The 23,261-nt window shown below is 37.8% G+C and overlaps 1 gene, besides 3 other annotated features; it reads left to right on the plus strand.

Annotated features, from left to right (window-relative positions):
* Nucleotides 1-23,261, plus strand: part of TRA (T cell receptor alpha locus) — a 930,229-nt gene that overhangs the window by 65,232 nt on the left and 841,736 nt on the right.
* Nucleotides 10,365-10,937: an enhancer, noted in NCBI's record as "H3K4me1 hESC enhancer chr14:22165724-22166296 (GRCh37/hg19 assembly coordinates)". NCBI's record gives its function as "activates a minimal SCP1, AML or CMV promoter by ChIP-STARR-seq in naive H9 embryonic stem cells {active_cell/tissue: H9 hESC(naive)}" and the evidence as "EXISTENCE:reporter gene assay evidence [ECO:0000049][PMID:30033119]".
* Nucleotides 15,917-17,939: an enhancer, noted in NCBI's record as "VISTA enhancer hs1705". NCBI's record gives its function as "enhancer in: forebrain[6/7] | facial mesenchyme[7/7]" and the evidence as "EXISTENCE:transgenic organism evidence [ECO:0001131][PMID:17130149]".
* Nucleotides 21,281-21,450: an enhancer, noted in NCBI's record as "experimental_33791 CRE fragment used in MPRA reporter constructs". NCBI's record gives its function as "activates a minimal promoter by MPRAs in K562 erythroleukemia cells, with activity observed for both the introgressed and non-introgressed 14:22176724 variant alleles {active_cell/tissue: K562}" and the evidence as "EXISTENCE:reporter gene assay evidence [ECO:0000049][PMID:34662402]".

The following is a 23,261-nucleotide window of genomic DNA, read 5'->3' on the forward strand; positions in this document are numbered from 1 at the left end:
TTCAAATGACTATTGTTAGGAAGTAAGAGTAATTCTATAGTTGGATATCTTGATAATTCTCCTCTAGAAGGCAGTAAGAATGCAGAAAATGAAAATTTTAATGGGTTAAAAAAGCAACGATCACTCATATAACCGGGATAGGGAACTATTTGGTTATTTTTATGGTTTGGACATGGTCTTCTTTTTGTCTGTGTTAAGACATGAATATGGAATAGTCTTATTTTTGAAAATGGAATAGTCTTGCTCCATTATGGTACTGAGTAGTCTTGTCAGATATTGGTGTTCAGAGAAGCTGTTTAGTAGGAGATCATCAAGTCCTAACTATGAGTGCTGGACTAGCTCCTAGCCACACCAAGGCCTATGTGATAGTGCCAGGCCATTTTCTAGTTATCAGGGGTAGCTTTTCTCCTTCATAGTCCTCTCTTTTGGCTGAAAGCAGACTAGGACAGGCCACAGGACATTAATCTATAATATCCATACAGTGTTTTCATCATTGTCAAAACTATGTCGGTTAGGAGGTTGTCTAGAGAATGTTGTCTGTAGTGGGACTAGGATTGGTCTCTCTGTTCTTTTTGCTGCAAAACAAATTGTTGAATCCCTTTGACATGACAATAAATTTGAGGTAGCATTTAAGAATATGGAAAGTGTACATTAGCTATATTAACTGCAGTGCAGGCAATTACCAGTAACACAATGGTTATTAGTTCTTCTTTTTTTTTTTTTATTATGCTTTAAGTTCTGGGATACATGTGCAGAACGTGCAGGTTTGTTACATAGGTGTACACGTGCCATGGTGATTTGCTGCACCCATCAACCCGTCATCTACATTAGGTATTTCCCCTAATGCTATCCCTTCCCTAAACCGCCAACCCCTGAGAGGCCCCAGTGTGTGATGTTCCCCCCGCTGTGTCCATGTGTTTTCATTGTTCACCTCCCACTTATGAGTGAGAACATGCAGTGTTTGGTTTCTGTTCCTGTGTTAGTTTGCTGAGAATGATGGTTTCCAGCTTCATCCATGTCCCTGCAAAGCACATTAACTCGTCCTTTTTTATGGCTGCATAGTATTCCATGGTGTATATGTACCACATTTTCCTTATCCAGTTTATCACTGATGGGCATTTGGGTTGGTTCCAAGTCTTTGCTATTGACCAGTGCTGCAATAAACATATGTGTGCATGTGTCTTTATAGTAGAATGATTTATAATCCTTTGGGTATATACCCAGTAATGGGATTGCTGGGTCAAATGGTATTTCTGGTGCTAGATCCTTGATGAATTGCCACACTGTCTTCCACAATGGTTGAACTAATTTACGCTCCCACCAACAGTGTAAAAGCATTTCTGTTTCTCCACATCCTCTCCAGCATCTGTTGTTTCCTGACTTTTTAATGGTTGTCATTCTAACTGGCGTGAGATGGTATCTCATTTTAGTTTTGATTTGCATTACCCTAATGACCAGTGATGATGAGGTTTTTTTCATATGTTTCTTGGCTACATAAATGTCTTCTTTTGAGAAGTGTCTGTTCATATTCTTTGCCTGCTTTTTGATGGGATTGTTTTTTTTTCTTGTAAATTTGTTGAAGTTCTTTGTAGATTTATTAGCCCTTTGTCAGACGGATAGATTGCAAAAATTTTCTCCCATTCTGTAGGTTGCCTGTTCACTCTGATGATAGTTTCTTTAGTGGCGCAGAAGCTCTTTAGTTTAATTAAATCCTATTTGTCAATTTTGCCTTTTGTTGCCATTGCTTTTGGTGTTTTAGTCATGAAGTCTTTGTCCATGCCTATGTCTTGAATGGTATTGCCCAGGTTTTCTTCTAGGGTTTTTATGTTTTTAGGTCTTACGTTTAAGTCTTTAATCCATCTTGAGTTAATTTTTGTATAAGATGTAAGGAAGGGGTCCAGTTTTACTTTTCCGTATATAGCTAGCCAGTTTTCCCAACATCATTTATTAAACAGGGAGTCCTTTCTCCATTGCTTGTTTTTTGTCAGATTTGTTAAAGATCAGATGGTTGTAGATGTGTGGTGTTATTTCTGAGGCCTCTGTTCTGTTCCATTGGTCTATATATCTGTTTTGGTGCCAGTACCATGCTGTTTTGGTTACTGTAGCCTTGTAGTATAATTTGAAATCAGGTAGCATGATGCCTCCAGCTTTGTTCTTTTTGCTTAGGATTGTCTTGGCTATAGAGGTTCTTTTTTTGGTTCCATATGAAATTTAAAGTAGTTTTTTCTAATTCTGTGAAGAAAGTCAGTGATAGCTTGATGAGGATAGCATTGAATCTATAAATTACTTTGGGCAGTATGGCCATTTTCACTATATTGATTCTTCCTATCCATGAACATGAAATGTTTTTCCATTTGTTTGTGTCCTCTCTTATTTCCTTGAGCAGTGGTTTGTAGTTCTCCTTGAAGAGGTCCTTCACGTCCCTTGTAAGTTGTGTTCTTAGGTATTTCATTCTCTTTGTAGCAGTTGTGAATAGGAGTTCACTCATGATTTGGCTATTATTAGTGTATAGGAATGCTTGTGATTTTTGCACCTTGATTTTGTATCCTGAGACTTTGCTGAAGTTGCTTCTCAGCTTAAGGAGATTTTGGGCTGAGACGATGGGGTTTTCTAAATATAAAATCATGTCATCTGCAAACAGAGACAATTTGACTTCCTCTCTTCCTATTTGAATACCCTTTATTTCTTTCTCTTGCCTGATTTCCCTGGCCAGAACTTCCAATACTATGTTGAACAGGAGTGGTGAGAGAGGGCATCCCTGTCTTGTGCCGGTTTTCAAAGGGAATGTTTCCAGTTTTTGCCTATTCAGTATGATATTGGCTGTGGGTTTGTCATAAAGAGCTCTTATTATTTTGAGGTACGTTCCATCAATACCTAGCGAGATCAACGCAGAAGGCGAGTGATTTCTGCATTTCCAGCTGAGGTACCCAGCTCATCTCCTTGGGACTGGTTAGACAGTGGGGGCAGCCCACAGAGGGCAAGCTGAAGCAGGGTGGGGTGTGTCACCCGGGAAGCGTAAGGGGTCGGGGAACTCCCTCCCCTAGCCAAGGGAAGCCGTGAGGGACCGTGCAGTTAGGAACGGTGCCCAGATACTAGGCTTTTTCCAAAACCAGCAGGATGAAGATAGGGAAGATTATCTTGATGCATCTTTTAGTTAGGTAATAAAGGAGGTTAGATTAGTGGCAGATCAAAATGAAAGAAAGAGGGCTGAGAAATCAGAAAATTAATCTTGTTTTGTGGTCTTGGGTGAAAGCTATCCACTTCTGTAGTCATCAGCTTGTAGAGAATTTTTAAGAATCCTTAACTCGGGGTCTTCCAAGTGCATGGATTTCCAGGCTTTGTAAGAAATAGATGTATCTTTTTAGTTAGAAAGCCTAACTCCCATTACTGGGTATATACACACCCAAAGAAAAATAAATCATTTTACCAAAGGACACCTGCACTTGCGTGTTTATCGCAGCATATTCAAAATAGCAAAGACATGGAATCAACCTAGGTGTCCAACAATTGTGTGCTGGATAGAGAAAATGTGGTACATAGATACAATGGAATACTACATAGCCATAAAATAGCATAAAATTATATCCTTTGCAGCAACGAAGGATGAAGATGGAGGCCATTATTTTAAGCGAATTAACACAGAAACAAAAAACCAAATACTGCATGTTCTCACTTATAAGTGGGAGTTAAACCTTGAGTACTCACAGAAGATGAGAACAACAAATACTGGGGAATCCAAAAGTCAGGAGGGAGGAAAGGGGGAAAGGGCTGAAAAAAAAACTTCCTGTTGGATACTATGTTCACTATCTGAATGATGACATCAATAGAAGCCCAAACCCCAGCATCGTGGAATATGCCCTTGTAATAAAGCTGCACATGCACCCCTGAATCTAAAATAAAAGTAAAAAATAAAAAAGCGTGACTCCAACGACCAACACCTTGAAGTTTTACTGTTGTGTCAGTTGTTAATAATCCCTGCCAAGGTTCTTTTCACTGGGGCTGAAGGGCTGTTTCTCTCTGACGTATTTTCTAGAAGACTAGATCTCCCTATTTCAGATCAGACAGTGGGTGTTTTAAAAATGTAGTTTGAACCTGTTTGTGTTAAAGCTGGCAGCATCATATGTGTCTCATGTGATATTTGGTCACATTAACCTGTAGTATGGCATAATCTAGGTTTAGAAGTAAAATTTTCAAATGAACTGGGTAGCTTATTATTAGCTCATACGGAGATCACCTGTGGGTCCCAGAGAAGGTAGATCTCATTGTCATGAAGGCTAATAGAAGTCTGAGTACTTTTGAGAACTATGCCAATTTTAGTTTTAGAATTTCATTAGTTCTTTTTACTTTTCTTGATGTTTGTAGACGGTAAAGATAGTGAAGTCTTAAGTAAAAGATACAGGTTTACAGAGTTATTTGGTAATAGTATAAGTGAATTATATGCCCCTATTACTAGAAAGATAAGTTAAAATTTCCCATATTGGAGAAAAAGAAATTAAACATTCTGGTCACAACTGGGCCATAGCTCTTTGTCAAGGACAAGCATCAACTCATCACAAGAGTAAATAATAACCAGAACATATTTATAGTCCATTGCTGGGGCATTTATATAAAATCCATTCAGAGGTGATCAAAGTGGCCTTGAGCCTTTGGTTCCTATCAATATCCTACTTTTGCAATCCTCCCAGAATAATCTCATCAGAAAGTAGGGCATGCATAGAAAATGTCTTTGGCAATATTCCTAAAATTGTTCCACCATGTTGGTTAAATATTATTGTCAATGCATCTTTATTATTTTGGATAATATTGTGAAGCATTTTTGTTAAATGCACTTTTATTATGGCTATATCCTTAGGTAATATCAAATTGTCTAAAAGTTTATTAATTCTCCTTTCATTTTATAGGGATTCCTAAAGAGATGAGGAAATTTGCTTGTTTTCAAAGCATTTTAAAATAATAGACTAACTCAAAATTATATCTACTATCAATATAAATGTTTGTTTCTTTACTGTTTTTCCTCTGGCAGGTCCAGGCAAGGGCAATGAATTTAACTCTCCAAGCTGATTTAGTTTCTGGGAGAAGCTTAATTTTCAAGAGTAAATTCAAGCTCTTGAATTAAAGCTCTTGAGATAGCATAACCTTCTTTGCAATTTTCAGTTTTTAAAAAATAATAAACTATTATGTAATATTGAATCAAGAATATTTAAGGGAGTCTCTAGGTCTGTGCAAGGTATGAGCTGTTGTCTAATTTAAGTAAGCAGTCATGGGCTTTTCCTTTGGGTCATGTAAGGAAGGTGACTGGGGTTAGAGCGTTAAAGTAATAGACAGTGATGTGTAAGTGTTAAAGTAATGGACAGTGACGTGTAAGGGCAAAGAAACAATAATTCATAAGAAGTTTGGCTAATAGCTAAGAAGCTTGAGGGATTTTTGTCATTTGCAGGGTCTGTAAAGTGTAAGGAATCATTAAGGTCGGTGTAAATCCTAGAACTAAATTAACTGAAGACTCTCATTGCTGATATAGGTTTTAGGCAAGGTGATGTATCTTGACTATTGTACCATAAAAAAGACTGAAATTAGCAATAAACTTCTGAGGATTCCTCTATATTTGAGTCAGTATTCCTAGTGCTTGTCCAGCCCTCTCATAAACAAAAGGAAAAAGGGGTTTGTGGATTTAGAAAACTGGAAGCAAGGTTGTTTTTTTTTTTGTTTTCAGATAGTTGTATCACTCTTTGGGCCTAAATAAAAATATTCTGCCTTTAACTGGAAAAGAAGAGTTTTAGATGGAGAAGAACCAATTAGCTGCCTCCTATAAGGAGTCTCTTATGTGAAACAGGAATAAGACTATAATAATCTCCAATAAGAAAAGATAATGGGACTAGAAGCTAAAGTTTTAAAACAATATAATTTTTTTTTTTTTTTTTACTAGTTAGAGGTATTCAAGGATGGAACAATTTCTTCATTAGAAATGAGGAAGAATAGGGTCGGGCATGGTGGCTCACGCCTGTAATCCTAGCACTTTGGGAAGCCGAGGTGAGCGGATCACCTGAGGTCAGGAGTTCGAGACCAGCCTGACCAACATGGAGAAACCCCATCCCTACTAAAAATACAAAATTAGCCGGGCATGGTGGCGCATGCCTGTAATCCTAACTAGTCGGGAGGCTGAGGCAGGAGAATCGCTTGAACCTGGGAGGCGGAGGTTGCAGTGAGCCGATATCGTGCCATTGCACTCCGGCCTGGACAACAAGAGGCAGATTCTGTCTCAAAAAAAAAAAAAAAAAAGAAATAAGGAAGACTAGTAAAAATTTCAATCAAAGCCTGGACTATCATTTGTTTGAAATAAGAATTCAAATATTATTTGGATGGCTAGAATAAATTATTCAGGCTATTTAGACCAAACCATTATATGAGTGCACAAAAGGCTCCAGTTGTAAGGAACAGGTGAATATTCTGAAAAGAAGGGCAATTCCTGTGCTTCAAAAGCCAATCATGTATATTTATGGTTTTGTTTTGTTATAAACTCAAGAGAAAGAGATGAACAAAAGTGGTTGGTGGCTTTCCAATAGGGTTAAGAGGAAAAGAGGGAACTAATATTTATCGCATGTTTACAATGTGCCAGTAAAATAAAAGGGAGATGCTGGAATTTTTTTTTTTAAATTCCCAATTTCTATACAGCAGTATATAGTTTATCAATAGCAAAGAAAGACAATTTGAAAAAGTAATGGTTATTGTTAAACCTGCTTTATTTTCCACCAAGTCTTGGCAGGATGAGATTCAGGATTAGAACAGAAGGTTTACCTTGTTCATAAGATACATCTAAATGAAGGTGTGGGAGGGGAGGGCTAGAACTGCATGTTAAGAAGTATGTAAGTGTATGGAAACCCATAAAGTTAAGAGTTGAAGTGTATGGGAGTGAATTTGGATGAGATTTCTTTAGAGCAAAATAAACATTTTTTCTTAATAAATACTACAGGTTGCTTAATCAGAATGACAAAACAGGTAAAGAGGCAAGGTGGTCATGATGGTGTGGTATTAATTTCATAAAGCTATCTGTTGCTTTGGAGGCATGGGCCCCAGTCTTAGCATACCTGAGCTTGAGTTCTAGTATTTGCATTTTATCCTTTTCATTACTGACAAAATGAGAATTAATCAAACTTATTTTAATTATTCAAAGTAATGAAATGTATGTGAAAAGCCTTTGTAAGGTGTAAGACACTATGAAGTGTTTGTTTTGGTAACAATGAAGTTATCCAGTAAGAGTCTTATTCTGCTAGTCATGGATATGCATGGGCAACAATGTCTGCCTCCCCAGATTCCAGTCACTCCTCTCTATTGTGTTGCATCATGAAGCTTGAGAGGAATGGATTGATTGATTGGTCCCATTCCCTAACCCATATCTCAATAAAGTCATTGGACTGTAACCCATATCTCAATAGAGTCATTGAGATATATTGCATTAAGCCATGCCTGAAGCCCTATTTTCTCTCTGGGCATTCTAGTTTTATGAGCCAATAAATCCCCTTCAGCTTGAGTTGAAATTTTTGTTTCTTGCAATTGAAACAATCTTGATTGATGAAACATTTAATAAATTTTGACTCACTGACAGTTTTATGGAAAAGAATGTAATGGAGACCAGGAAGAATACTGTTACTCTGGATTTAATTCTGATTGATAGGAAAGAACTTGTTAATGACATGTATGGTAGGTTAAATGAAAGTAGCTTTGGAGTCAAATATATTTGGGTCTAAGCCCTCATTCCAGCATTTGTTATCAGTGTTACTTTAAGCAAATAACTTAATGCCTTTCAGCTTTAGTTTCCTCATCTATAAGTTGGGTGTAATAATAATGTCTATATCATCGGAGTGGTAATTAGGATTAATAGATAATTAATAGATAACGCACATAAAATATGCCATAGCACATATTAAGGATTCAACAGGGATTAGGTTTGAAAAACTAGAAATGGAAGATGCAGAATAAAGACTTAACTGCCCATTATTGCCCTATCTCTAAAATAAACTGAAGACAATAAGGAAAATGAATGAGAAAGGGAGAAACATCATCTTTTTAAATTAAAAGGCAACACTTTAAGTGTGAAAATACACTAATTAGAAGAGCTAATGAGTGTATCTGAAATTAGATCAGGGTAAAGGAAGATGCCAGGAGAGGATGACTACATTATAGAGTTTGGACAGAGTCAGCACAGCATAGATTTCTCCATAGGGGCCAATGGGTAGCTGTACTTTGGAACATAATCATGAAAGGCTGTAAGTCTCTGTAACCTCCTTGCTGTTACAGTGTAACAGAAGAGGCAAGGTTGAATGAGGAAACCTTAAACATACTATCTTTGGAACAACGCTAATTATGAAGAAGAATCTGTGTATGACAAGCAACTCTACAGCTATTTACCTTTGTTAACCAATGAAGAGAGAAGGTCAAATCACCTTGCAATCTCACAGACACAAAATATGTACTATGTAGGGCTTCACTGTGAGCTAGAGGGTATCCTTATTGGCCTAGAACATTCTTCTGAAGCCTTATGCACACTATCTTCCTAAAAATAACTTAACCAAGAAGAAATCACTTAATTTAAAGAGAAATATTATTTAAAAAGCAACAGAGGATTTATATAAAACACTACAATCTGAAAATGAAATAAGAAAACAATTTTATTTACAATAGAATACAAAATACTTAGGAGTATATTTAATCAAGGAGGTATAAAATTTGTACACCACAAACTATAAAACATTGCTGAAAGAAATTAAAGAAGGCCTTAATAACTGTAAAGACATTCTGTGTTCATGCATTGGAAGACTTAATATTGTTAAAATAGCAAACTACTCCAAATGGTTGACAGACTCAATGCAATTTCTACCAAAATCCTAATACCCTGTTTTTTTTTTTTGTTTGTTTGTTTTGCAGAAACTGAAAAGCTGATTTTAAAATTCACATGGAATTGCAAGGGATCCAGAATGGCCAAAATAATCTTGAAAAAGAAAAATAAGGTGGGAAGACTCACATTTTTATATTTCAAAACTTACTACAAGCTGTGGTAACAAAGGCATTATGCTAATGGCATAAGGATAGACATACAGATCAATAAAATAGACTGAGAGCCCAGAAATAAACCCAATAATGATAAGCCCAAGAAACAAGCTCAATAGAATAGATTGAGAGTCCAGTTAATTTTCAACAAAGGTGCCAAGACATTTCAATGGAGGACAGAATGATCTACTTGACAAATGGTGCTGGGGCAACTGGATATCCATATGCAAAAGAATGAAGTTAGACCTCTATCTCATACCATATGAAAAAATTAACTCAAAGTGGATCAAATATCTAAATTAGAAACTAAACTATAAAACTCTTAGAAGAAAACACAAGAGTAAATCTTTATGACCTTGGACTTGGCACTAGATTCCTAGAAATGGCACCCAAAACACAAGCAATACAAGGTAAAGTAGATACATTGGACTTCTTCAAAATTAATAACATTTGTTTGTAAAAGGACATATCAAGAAAGTAAGAAGCAAATCTAAAGGATGGGAGAAAATATTTATGAATAATTTATCTGATAAGGGTCTAGTATCTAGAATAAAGCACTCTTACAGCCCAACCCCAAATAGACAAACAACCTGATTAAAAATTGGCAAAAGACTTGAATAGACATTTTTACAAAGAAGATGTACAAATGGCTGACAAACATATAAAAATATACTCAACATTTTTAGTCATCAGGAAATTACAAATTATACCACTTCACACTCAACTAGGATGGCTGTAATTTAGAAAAAATTAAAATAAGTGCTGGTGAGAATGTGGAGAAATTGGAAACCTCATCAATTGCTGGTGGGAATGTAAAATGGTGCGGCCATTGTAGAAAACAGTTTGGCTATTCCTCAAAAGTTAAATATAGAATTATAATATGATCTAAAAATTCCAATCCTAGATATATAACCTAAAGAATTGAAGAAAGGTATTCTAATAAATTATTATATATGAATGTTTATAGTAGCATTATTCACAACAGCCAAAAGATGGAAACAAGCCAAATGTCCATCAGTGAATGAATAAACAAAATGTGATATAGCTACAAATTGTTATTATTCAGCCATAAAAACAAATGAAGTTCTGATTGACCTTCAAAAGCTTTATGCTGCCCTCTCCCTCTCCCTCTCCCCTTTGCACGGTCTCCCTCTGATGCCGAGCGGAGGCTGGACTGTACTGCCGCCATCTCGGCTCACTGCAACCTCCCTGCCTGATTCTCCTGCCTTAGCCTGCCCAGTGCCTGGGATTGCAGGTGCACGCCACCACGCCTGACTGGTTTTTGTATTTTTTCGTGGAGACGGGGTTTTGCAGTGTTGGCCGGGCTGGTCTCCAGCTCCTGACCGCGAGTGATCTGCCAGCCTCGGCCTCCCGAGGTGCCGGGATTGCAGACGGAGTCTCGCTCACTCAGTGCTCAATGTTGCCCAGGCTGGAGTGCAGTGGCGTGATCTTGGCTCGCTACAATCTCCACCTCCCAGCCGCCTGCCTTGGCCTCCCAAAGTGCCGAGATTGCAGCCTCTGCCCCGCCGCCACCCCGTCTAGGAAGTGAGGAGCGTCTCTGCCCGGCCGCCCATCGTCTGGGATGTGAGGAGCCCCTCTGCCCGGCCGCCCAGTCTGGGATGTGAGGAGCGCCTCTGCCGTGCAGCGACCCCGTCTGGGAACTGAGGAGTGTCTCTGCCCTGCCGCCACCCCGTCTGGGAGGTGAGGAGCATCTCTGACCGGCCGCCCCGTCTGGGAAGTGAGGAGCGTCTCCGCCTGGCAGCTGCCCCGTCAGGGAGGTGGGGGGCAGCCCCCGCCCAGCCGCCGCCCCGTCTGGGAGTTGCGGGGGCGCCTCTGCCCGGCGCCCCGTCTGGGAAGTGAGGAGCCCCTCTGCCCGGCCGCCACCCCGTCTGGGAGGTGTACCCAACAGCTCATCGAGAACGGGCCATGATGACGATGGCGGTTTTGTCGAATAGAAAGGGGGGAAGTGTGGGGAAAAGAAAGAGAGATTGGATTGTTCCTGTGTCTGTGTGGAAAGAAGTAGACATAGGAGACTCCATTTTGTTCTGTACTAAGAAAAATTCTTCTGCCTTGGGATGCTGTTAATCTATAACCTTGCCCCCAACCCCGTGCTCTCTGAAACAGGTGCTGTGTCCACTCAGGGTTAAATGGATTAAGGGCGGTGCAAGATGTGCTTTGTTAAACAGATGCTTGAAGGCAGCATGCTGGTTAAGAGTCATCACCACTCCCTAATCTCAAGTACCCAGGGGCACAAACACTGCGGAAGGCGGCAGGGCCCTCTGCCTAGGAAAACCAGAGACCTTTGTTCACATGTTTATCTGCTGACCTTCCCTCCACTATTGTCCTATGACCCTGCCAAATCCCCCTCTCCGAGAAACACCCAAGAATGATCAATAAATACTAAAAAAAAAAAAAAAAAAAAAAAAGAAGAAATAGAATAGAATAATATAAGTAAGTTACATGTGTTCCTCTAATTTGTGTTCATCCAGGGGAGGCAAAGGATGGCAACAGGCCAAATCCAGCCTGCCACATGGTTTTATAAATACAGTTTTATTGAACACAGCCTCGCCCATTCATTTACTTATGGTCTATGGCTGCTTTTTTGCTTCACAATGGCAGTGTTGAGTAACTGCAGCAGAGACCACACGGACTGCAAAACCTAAAATATTTACTATTTGACCTTTTACTGAAAAAAGTTTGCTGACCCCTGATCTATTCATCATAAACTTCTTTTTGATAAATGGATTCTAACAGAGACAAAGAACTTAGGGCTTACCATCAAAACCTTTGAAGTTCTGCCTGGTTCTGTATGTGGAGGCTCTCATGGTGTTATCATTGCACTCTTTTACCAATCCCACTGCTTCTGTCCCCAGTAACATTCTAATCTTGGAGGCACCAACAAGATATAAGTTCTGATTTTCTAGTGTTTCTTGTTCATATTTATTTAACAATGGTCTAAACAACAACTGGGCACCTTCAAAAACAAAAGATAAGCACAATCTTAGACAAACATTAAAGTTTCAAAAATAAAAACTTTCTAAATAAATAAAAAAAAAAGCTTTATGCTAAGTTAAAGAAACCAGACATAAAATACCACCTGTTGTATGATTCTTTTTATATTGAACATCCAGAATAGGTAAATTTGTAGTCAGAAAGTAGACTAGTGTTTACGAGGGGATGAGGAGAAGTGGAGAACGACTGTTTAATAGGTATAGAATTTTCTCACAGTTAGTGTTGTTGCAAAGATAGTATGTTTAACCTTACCTGGAGCTGAGACAAATTTAAAGAGCCGAGCGAAATACAGGGGTGGAAGAAGCAGTGGGAAGAGCCCTGTGGGTAATCTCAGTCCCCAGGGAAGCCATTTGTGACTTTTTTCCACAGAGGTCCTTGGGGAGGGCTGCCAGAGGAACTGGGAAAAGACCACAGGGAGGAGGAAACATCCAGCTGAACTTTGTAACAGTTTTGACTGAACTCAAAGTTTCCTAGACAGAACTCAGGGGAGGGAGAAATTGAGAGCACAGACACAGCACAGAAGCCTAAGCAGGTGGGAAGGTATGAAACCTGAAAGCCCCGCTTGCTTTCTCAGCCAGGAGGCTGGTAGCCTGGGGCAAGTTCTCAGCTCTGCTCACCCTCTGCCTGGAAATAAACTTGGTCCTGCTAGCGGGGCACCAAAAGCAGTTGGTGCTGTTGGTGGGGGCACCAAAAGGCTGGGAGTTAGACCAGCCTTTTGGGCTTTGTGGGAGCTGGGTTAGGCCAGTAACTGCTGGCTTTCCCCCACTTCCCTGGTGACCTGTATGACCCAGTAGAGGCAGCCATAATCCCCCTGGGAACACAACTTCATTGCCCTCAGAACCACACTCCCATCTCCCACAGCAGCCTTAGCAAGCCTCGCGCAAGGACAGTCTGAGTTCAGACTTGCCTAACCCTGCCCCCACCTGATGGTCTTTCTCTACATGCCCTGGTAGCTGTAGACAAAGGACATATTCTCTCAGGAGCTCTAGGACCCTGCTCATTGCCTGACCCTCACAGAGTCCATTTCACCCCCCTACTGCTACCTCCACCGGAGCAGGTGCTGCTATCCATGGCTGAGACTCCAGACAATGGTTCACATCACAAGACTCTGTGCAGACACTCCCCTGCCCCTGCCCCAAGTACCAGCCCAGAGCCCAGTGGCACTACTGGGTGGTTAGACCCAGAAGAGAAATAATGATCACTACAGTTTGGTTCCCAGGAAGTGACATCCCCATGGGAAGGGAGATAGCACACATCAAGGGAGCATACCATGGGACAAATAAATCTGAATATCAGCCCTTGAGCTCCAGATTTTCTCTCTGACATAGTCTACCCAAATGAGAAGGAACCAGAAAAACAATTCTGGTAATACGACAAAAACAAGGTTAACACCCCCAAAAGATCACACTGGATCACTAGCAATGGATCCAAACCAAGATGAAATCCCTGAATTGCCAGAAAAATAATTCAGAAGGTTGATTATTAAGCTAATCAAGGAGGCGCCAGAGAAAGGTGAGGTCCAACTTAGTGAAATGAAAAAAAGATATAAGATATGAAAGAGAAAATATTCAGTGAAATAGATAACATAAATAAAGAACAATCACAACTTCTGGAAACGAAAAGGCACACTTAGAGAAATGCAAAATGCACTGGAAAGTCTCAGCAATGGAGTTGAACAGGCAGAGGAAAAAGCTTTGGAACTCAAAGACAAGGCTTTCAAATTAACACAATCCAACAAAGACAAAGAAAAAAGAATAAAAAAAATTTAACAAAGCCTCCAAGAAGTCTGGGATTATATTACATGACCAAACCTAAGAATAATTGGTGTTCGTGAGGAAGAAGAGAAATCAAAAGTTTGGAAAACATATTTGAGTGAATAATCAAGAAAAACTTCTACAGCCTTCCTAGAGATCTAGACATCCAAATACAAGAAGCTCAAAGAACACCTGCTAAATTTATTGCAAAAAAGATTATCTCCAGGCACATAGGCATCACATTATGTAAAGTTAAGATGAAGGAAAGAATCTTAAGAGTTGTGAGGCAAAAGCACCAGGTAACCTATAAAGGAAAACCTATCAGATTAATAATAGATTTCTCGCAGAAACCCTACAAGCTAGAAGAGATTGGGGCCCTATCTTCAGGGTCCTTAAACAAAACAATTATCAGCAAAGGATTTTTGTATCCAGTGAAACTAACTTTCATAAATAAAGGAAAGATACAGTCTTTTTCAGACAAATAAATGCTGAAAGAGTTTACCACTACCAAGCCAGCACTACAAGAACTGCTAAAAGGACCTCTAAATCTTGAAACGAATCCTTGAAATACACCAAAATAGAACCTCTTTAAAGCATAAATCTTACAGGACCTATAAAACAAAAACACAATAAAAAACCAAGGTATTCATGCAACAAATGGCATGATGAGTAGAATAGTACCTTATATCTCAATACTAACATTGAATGTAAATGGCCTAAGTGTTCCGCTTAAAAGATGCAGAATGGCAGAATGGATAAAAATTCACCAGCCAAGTATCTACTGTCTTCAAGACACTCACGTGACACAAAAAGACTCACATAAGCTTAAGGTAAAGGGGTGGAAAAAGATATTCCATGCAAATGATGCTAAAGCAGGAGTAGCTATTCTTATATCAAATAAAAAACTTTAAAGCAACAGCAGTTAAAAAAGACAAAGAGGGACATTATATAAAGATGAAAGAATTGTCCAATAGGAAAATATCACAATCCTAAATATATATGCACCTAACACTGGAGCTCCCAAATTTATGAAACAGTTACTACTAGACCTAAAAGATGAGACAGACAACAACACAGTAACAGCAGGGGACTTCAATCCTTCACTGACAGCACTAGACAGGTTATCAAGACAGAAAATCAACAAAGAAAAATGCATTTAAGCTATGTCCTAGAATAAATGGGCTTAACAGGTATTTACAGAATATTCTACCCAACAACTGCAGAATATACATTCTATTTATCAGTACATGGAGCATTGTCCAGGAGAGGCCATATGATAGGCCTCAAAAACAAGTCTCAATAAATTTAAGAAAACTGAAATTATATGAAGTATTTTTTATGTAATAATTACATAATTTTATGTAATTTTATGTCTTGGGTTTCCACACTTACTATCTTATGGAACCTGTTCCCTTGAAGGTCACCAGTGACCTCATAATGGTTATTTTAGAAAGCCTTTCCCCCCCCATAATGGCCTTTTTAGGGTATAGCTATCATGCAATAAATTGAATATATTTAAAGTACACAGTTTGATAAATTGTGACATATGTATACACCCATGACGCCATCACCACAATCAAATTGATTAACATAACCATCAATCACAAAAGTTTTTTTGTGCCCTCTCATGATCCTGTTTTTCTCTTTTTGCCCCCGTCTTCCTTTCCCAAGCAAACATGAATGCACTTTCTGTCACTGTAGATTAGTTTAAAATTTCCAGAATTTCTAGAATTTTATGTAAATGAACAATATATACTTCTTTTGGTCTATTTTTTATTTTTTTTTACTCAGCATAATCATTTTGAGATTCTTTTATGTCATGTCTTTTACCAATGGTTCACTCACCTTTATTCCTGAGTAGCATTCCATTGCATGGCTATATCACAGTTTGTTTTTCCAATGTATAAGCACATGGTTGTCAAAACAAAGTAAAGCATAGGGAACTAACTTAAAGGTGCATGGAACAACAACAATAGCACAGAAATAAATGCTGCTATGCCTAAGAATCTAATATGTGATAAAAAGGAGAGTATAAATCAATAAAGTAGGCAAATTTAAACCAAGTATTTTGAAGTTATTAAATGGATAAATGAGGCAAAAAATCTAAATAGGCCCCTCACTTCACTCAATATAGCAGGGGTAATTAAGAAGAACAATGACATTATTAAGATTATATAGTTTACATTTATTAAATCAGTTGTGACATGATCTCCTTTTAGAAAGATTATTTAGTCGTGGTGCGAAGGATAAACTAGAAATAGTAATCACTGAATTATGGATGCCAAAGTAAGGAGGTTATGGTAGCATTAGGATCATGAGTTAATAAAAACAAGGCAATGAGAATGGAGAGGAAAGGGAAACTATCAGAGATTTCAAAATTTCAGAGGAAGAAATGATAGGGGGAATCATATTTTTCTAACTGCAATTTAATAGAAGCAATCCCTTAACTTTTTTCCAGGCTTGTCTTCAGGTGATAGAGACTTGTAATTTCTCTTGGAAAAACATTTTACTAGGTGACTAGGATTCAAGCTGTAAATCTTGGTTAATCACAAACTTTATGAGTTTAGATTAGTTGTGTAACCTTCTGGACTGTTTGCTTTCTCTCCTGTAAAGGTCAACTCTAAGACTTCTTACAACTTCAGATTTCTTGGATAATAATTTATTATCTTGAACTGCATCTCCAATTGGGCCTAAGACAACAGACCAATTCAGTGGGAAATGAAAATAATAAATGAATTGTATGGGCTAACTACCACTCACAGGGCCTTAGTGAAGAAGGTGACTATAATCTAGATTAAAAGTCTTTCCACACGGTGTTTTCTCTTAATGATGAAGGAAGCTGTGCAGGCAGGAATAGGGTTACAGGGTACTAATTCGCTTCTGCTCTGCTGGGTTGAATGGCACTCAAGAGGTTGAGTGTTTGTAATGAAACACACACAAGTTCTGGAGGCAAGAAGACTAGAGTTTTGTTACTTTTGACAAGTTACAGGTCAATAGAGACTGCCTCTTAAGAAGACCTAGAGGAAAATGCAACTTTTTAATTAATCTCCTGTGTTTCTCTGGCTCATGCCATTATCATAGATAAGACCAAGGGATGCCTCTGGTGATTCATTAGAACTCTTAGGCTCACTGATTACTCTTTGGTCTCTAAATGCTTCTCTGTGGTAAGAAGAGTAGTTAACAAAGGAAGCTGGGTTTCCCCAGAGGACCTTATTAAAACTGTTGTGGTTTTGAAGTGATTAACATGTAAATGAATTAATGTGGTCAATGAACCAAGCTATGCACACAGAGCATATCTAGGAGGCAGAGAATCATACAGTCTAGTCATACTCAGGAGGAAACTGTTTAGCATTCAGAGGTGAATTCTGGAAGAAAGATGAAAAAGGAACTCAGAATTACTGCTTTAATTTCAGAAACACTAAACATGAAATGACAGAAGATTAGAAGATTTTTGTAGAGTTTGTACATGTTGCTTTAGAATAGATTCCTGGAGCAAAAGTAGAAATGGCTTACCATTAGAGCAAGCAGGTTAGCTCAAGAGGCTATACTAAGCTACTTTTGCACACCTGGTGGCACCACATCCTATTTGCAGTCTGCAAACATCATCACCTCCCTTAAATGTGACACTTGTTATATCTCAGAGGCAAGTTAATCTTACTCAACTGTATAGAATAGATTAGAGGGTGGAGAGAGCTAGCTGATTTAAACTCTAGGTGAATGTTAGAAACAAATACTGAAATTGAAAGTCAGAAAGAGAGGCAGGTTTTGTGTGAAAAGCAGTTAGATTTTGACTTGTGTAATAATAAGATCTCTTGAGTAAATAAAACAAAATTTCTCTTAGGAGTTCATCAGTTTCCTTTGCAGTCCTAACTCACTAGGGATGTCAGAGTTAGGGTCATTATAGCATTCTTTGTGAGTTACAGTTAGTTGTAGCCTGTTTGCATTTACTGATTTTTATGAGATAAAGTTGCTTTACTACCATTTGCCTACAAATTGTAATGGAAATTAAAATCTATGGGTCTGTGATGTGAATAGTTCTCCTGGGGTTGGACAGTGCACACCTGCATGACTATAGGCAAAACCATGTCAGATGAGATGTTTATTTAAAAATAAATGGCTCACCTACTTCCCTAAAATTTTTCTTTGAAATGACTACCAAAGATACAGGTAGGACTGATTGAGAAAAGGCAGAAATTGAAGGTCTGAAAAGAGAGAAAAGTCAAGAAAGAAGAATAAAAAGATGTAGTCTGGGAAGTATTAGGCAAATTAGGCTTGAGCAATATTATGAAAGTTTTCAGCATTGTTCCCTTATAATTGCAAAATGGGAAGTATTGTCACCTCTTTCATTTTTTGGAAGAGTTTGTGAAGGATTGGGGCTAATTCTTTAAACATTTGATGCAATTCACTAGTGAAGCTTCCTGGGCCTGGATTTAACTTTGTGGAATACTTTTTGTTTACTTAATTGATCTTGTTATAGATCTGTTCGGATTTTCTATTTCTTCTTGAGTCAGTTCTGGTAGTTTACGTCTTTCTAGGCATTTGTCTTTCTCATCTAGGTTATCCAATTTGTTGGCATATGCCATTGTTGTTCATAGCATTCCCTTATAATCATTTTTATTTCTGTAAAATTTGTAATGTTTCTATTCCTGATTTTAGTCATTTCAGTGTTTTCTCTTTTTTTTTTTCTTGGTCAATTTAGCATAACAAAAAGTTTGTCAATTTTCTTGATCTTTTCAAAGAAGACATTTTTGGTTTAATTTGTTTTTCTCTATTGCTTTTATAATCTCTATTTCATTTATTTCCACTCTAGTCTTTATTATTTCCTTCCTTCTTCTTGCTTTAGGTTTAGTTTGTTCCTTTATTTCTAGTTTAAGGTAAACAGATGATTAATTTAATATTTTTTCTTTTTATAATTTGGTGTTTATAAATTTCCCTTTAAGCACTGCTTTAGCTGCATATCATAAGTTTTGTTATGGATTTTTTGGGTGTGTTTTTGTTTCCTTTAATCTCAAATTATTTTCATATTTCCCTTATGATTTCTTCTTTGATTCATTGTTTATTTAGGAGTGTGTTGTTTAATTTTCACATATTTGTGAATTTCCCAAATTTCCTTTTTAACTTTTAGTTTAATTTCATTATGGTAGAAGAAAATTATATAGTTTTAATCCTTTTAAATTTATTATTTTTTCCTTTTGGTTCTTTTGTTCTAATTTCTATCTCTTCATTGATATTCTATAGTTAGTGAGCCATAATTCTTATAGTCTCTTAGTTCCTTATTTGTGATTTTTTAAAGTTCTTTGAACATGTTTGAAATAGCTGATTTAAAGTCTTTGCCTCATAATTTCAATATCTAGCTTCCTCAAACTTTCCTTTTCTTTGTTTGACTTTTCTGTAGACCATATCTTCTTGTTTCTTTGCATGTTTTGTCTTTTTTTTTCATGGAAAACTTGTTATGGACATTTTATTTTACTTTTGCCTTGAAACATTTTATTTATTTATCTTTAAAATTTTATCATTTTTTGGGAGATATTTAACATTTTAAATAATATGGCAACTCTGGAAATGTCACTCACCCCCTCGGGGTTTGTTGCTGCTGCTTGTTATTGTGTTTGCTATCAGTTTGTTTACTGACTTTCCTGAATGCATTTGTAAAACCTGTATTCTTTGTCATGTGTGGCCATTAAAATCTCTGCTTGTTTAGCTTAATGGTCAGCTAATGATTGGATAGAGATTTCCTTAAATGTCTGGAATCAGTAGGTCTCTTATCCTTCACTGATGGGCTTTGTGCATGTGTTTCACCAGACCTTCAATATTTAGCCTGGCAGTTTGCAACTCTGCCTTAGCCTTCACTTCTTGCTCTCACAGAGCTTCAAGGTCAGTCTTAGGTGAGATATTAGGTACTTCTTAGATCTTTCCTAGGTCTTCAAGTGGCCTTTGGCGTGTATACAGCCTTCTGTGTGCTTCTGCATGGCTTTCTAGAGTTTCAGGAATATGTTGGAGTTTTTCAGAGCCCCCTATTGACATTTCGTTATTCAGCTTTTCCTTTAAGTGTATTGGTCAGTTTCTTGTTTGTTCCACCATTATCATCTCCTCAGGCAGTGGCAATGTTAAATAATTGGTGCTTATTGTTTTCCACCTCCTCCCCTCCAAAAAGGTTGTTTGCAATGAGCAAGTTCTGAATAAGATCAAATACAGGCAAGTCTTGCCAATGGAGGTTGCAGGAATATGCCAGACAGGTCAAATAATGACAGTGCTCTGAGAATAGTGTTTTTGGGGAGCTCCAAACCAGCTTTGCCCTGTCTAGTAGCTTCAAGGCTGCTGTTTCTCACCATTATGGCAGTGCTGTTGGTTTTCAAGGCTATTGGAGAGCTGGGGAGAAGAAGACGAGAACAGGACAAATTAAAACACCACAAAGTTGCTGCTCACTGTTCTTATCTAGATACAGCCAGTTTTCATGAGTAAATGCTTCTTGAATTATTGCAAGTCTTTTGTTAATTTCCAGAGTTCAGAAAAAAAATATTTATTTATTTATTCATTGTTTTTGAGATAGAGTCTCACTCTGTCACCCAGGCTGGAGTGCAGTGGCACGATCTCAGCTCACTGCAAACTCTATCTCCTGGGTTCAGGTGATTCTCATGCCTCAGCCTCCTGAGTAGCTGAAATTACAGGCGTGTGCCACCACGCCCGGCTAAATTTTGTATTTTTAGTAGAGACAGGGTTTCACCATGTTGCGAGGCTGGTCCCAAATTCCTGACCTTAAGTGATCTGCCTGCCTCAGCCTCCCAAAGTGCAGGGTTTATAGGCATGAGCCACTGTGCTCGGCCAGAATAAGTTATTTTGACAATTTTTTTGGCCAGTGTTTTCATTGCCTTTGTGAAGAGGTGGTTTTTGATTGTTATGCTGCTATTCTCACTGACTTCACTCATGCTATTCTGTCATGCCTCAATCAATCTTCATCACAGAGCACAGTCTCTTCATCATTTCCCACAAAATCCAGTTACAGCAAGTAATTATTTTTCAATAGACTTTATTGGAGTCTATTTGAATAATTGGCAGATAAAGTCCCATTTTTGTTGTATGTTACTTTTTGCCATCTTGGAGGGTTTTACCATTTTTTCCTTTACTTATCTCCCACCCTATCCCCAGATGCCTCTCCCTGTAATATTAAACCTATTCTTTCTTCTTTGATCCTACTTGGTGTTATTTTCTTCTCTAATCATTGTCCAAAACCAATGAAGTTCTCTTAGAACTTTGGAAGAATTCAAATGAATTAGAATTATATTTTGTTATAAATATTAAAGTCCCAGGTAAGTTGCATATAGATCATTTCAAAATGTCTTTTCAAGCTATCCAATGACATTTTGGCTGGCTGCTGCTTGTGAAACCACCAAGATCTCCATCCTCCTTCTTTCTTTCTTTGTCTCTCTCCACCTGAATTAATTTTTGTCCTTTCATAGATGAGACCTATTTTTTTTTGTAACTTGGAGAGAGGTGAGAAAATTTGGATCAGTAAAAAGGCTAAGGTGAAGAGATGAGAAAATATTGGAGGAGGAAGGCATACCATCTGTTCTCCACTTGTCTCCTCATACTGATTTTGAGCCCCCTGTAGAGACAGAATTTTAGAGATAGAAGTGGATTGAAATATGTTCAAAAGGAGCTTTGTGAGATGTACAGAAAATACACTCTCTTTTCCAGCACTAATGGACATTCTAAAAAATTGGGCATGTATTAGGCTACAAAGGAAGCTTCAATAATGGAGACATTGTAGCTGCATTCTCTTTTTGGTCAGAAGCAAGACAGGGATAACCACTATCAGTGCTACTCTTTGTTATTTTCCTCCAGTAGTATGTTTGCAGAAATATTCTTTAGTGTATACATCAGATGATATCGTTTGGATATTTCTCCCCACTCAAATGTTGAAATTTAATCCCCAGTGCTGGAGGTGGGGCCTGATGGGATGTGTTTGGATCATGGCAGCAGATCCCTCATGGCTTAGTGCTGTCTTTGTGATAATGAGCTCTTGTGAGGTCTGGTTATTTAAAAGTGTGTGACACTTTCCAACCCCAATTTGCTCCTTCTTTCGCCATGTTACATGCATGCTGCTTCTTTGCCTTCTACCATGACTGTAAGCTTCTTGAGGCCTCCCCAGAAGCTGATCAGATGCCAACACCATACTTCCTGTAAAGCCTGCAGAACTGTGAGCCAGTCAAACCTCTTTTCTTTATAAGTTATCCAGTCTCAGGTATTTCTTTATAGCAATGAATGAATAGCTAATACAGTAGGGACTATGCCTAGCACTTTCTAGGCAGCAATGGAAGGGCTTTGTATATTCAGTAGTGAGTGTTCTTGTTGTTGGTTGAGTGAATTTGTAGTGTTAGGGTGAGTAGTGTGAGATTTGATTGATTAGAGAATTCCCTGTGCTGTGTTTAAACATTGTTTTTGGCTGTATAGCATTGAATTCTCACTGCCTATCTCTGCTGGAGAGTCTGTGATCTATTTAATATATCTTAATATCTTTCTTTTCTACTTAAATTAGCTTAGTAGATTTTATTAAGTTACATCTGAATATTTGACTGACAAAAAGAGGATCTTGCTAAAGCTAAGATAGTAAAAATAGTATAGTAGTATTGCAGAGAAACAACAAGATGAATATAAAACTCAGGAAGTTCAATAGGTACATTTGTGAATCAAGTTCATAGGTGAGTCTAATATGATAACGATGATGCCACAAATCTTTAGGGAATGGTGGATTATTTAGTAGATTGTGCTATTAAAACTGTCCTGCTCTATGGAGAAAAATAAAGTAGTTGGGTCTTCTACAGATGTAAATTTTAGATGAATTAAAACCTAAATGTAAAAAACAAATCTATAAAGATAATAAACACAGTGTGGGAAAATGTATTTGTGGCTTTGGGGTGAAGAATGATTTCTAAATCAAAATCCCTAAAGCCCAATAAGGTGAAAAAAATGATAATGTTGATTCCTTCAAAATTAAGGATTTCCATTAAAAAAAAAGGACACCATAGACAAAGCTAATAGACTGGGACCATATTAGAAAAAGATACTTGTGATTTTGGATACAGCAAAAAATTAATATATGAGAAACTCTTATGATTTACTGAGAAAAACTAGAGGTCTAATTTTAAAGTGAGAAATCATGTATATGGATAACATGGGAAAGGGAAATACAAATGGCTCAATAGACTAATAATCAGGGTAATGCAAGTTGACATTCCATACTCAGTAGATTGGTAAAAGTAGACAGTTTTATAATACTAAGTGTTGTTGAGGTTATGGAAAGACTGGAATGCTCATGCACTGCTCGTAGAAGTGTAAGTGGCTGTAGCTACTTTCAATCATTACCGTCGTGAAATTGAGTATGTGTATGTACTATGATTGAACAATCCTTGCTGGGGACATATCCTAGAGAAATTCTCACATAGTTAATAGGTG

This window comes from Homo sapiens, chromosome 14, assembly GCF_000001405.40.
Source record: "Homo sapiens chromosome 14, GRCh38.p14 Primary Assembly".
NCBI lineage: Eukaryota > Metazoa > Chordata > Mammalia > Primates > Hominidae > Homo > Homo sapiens.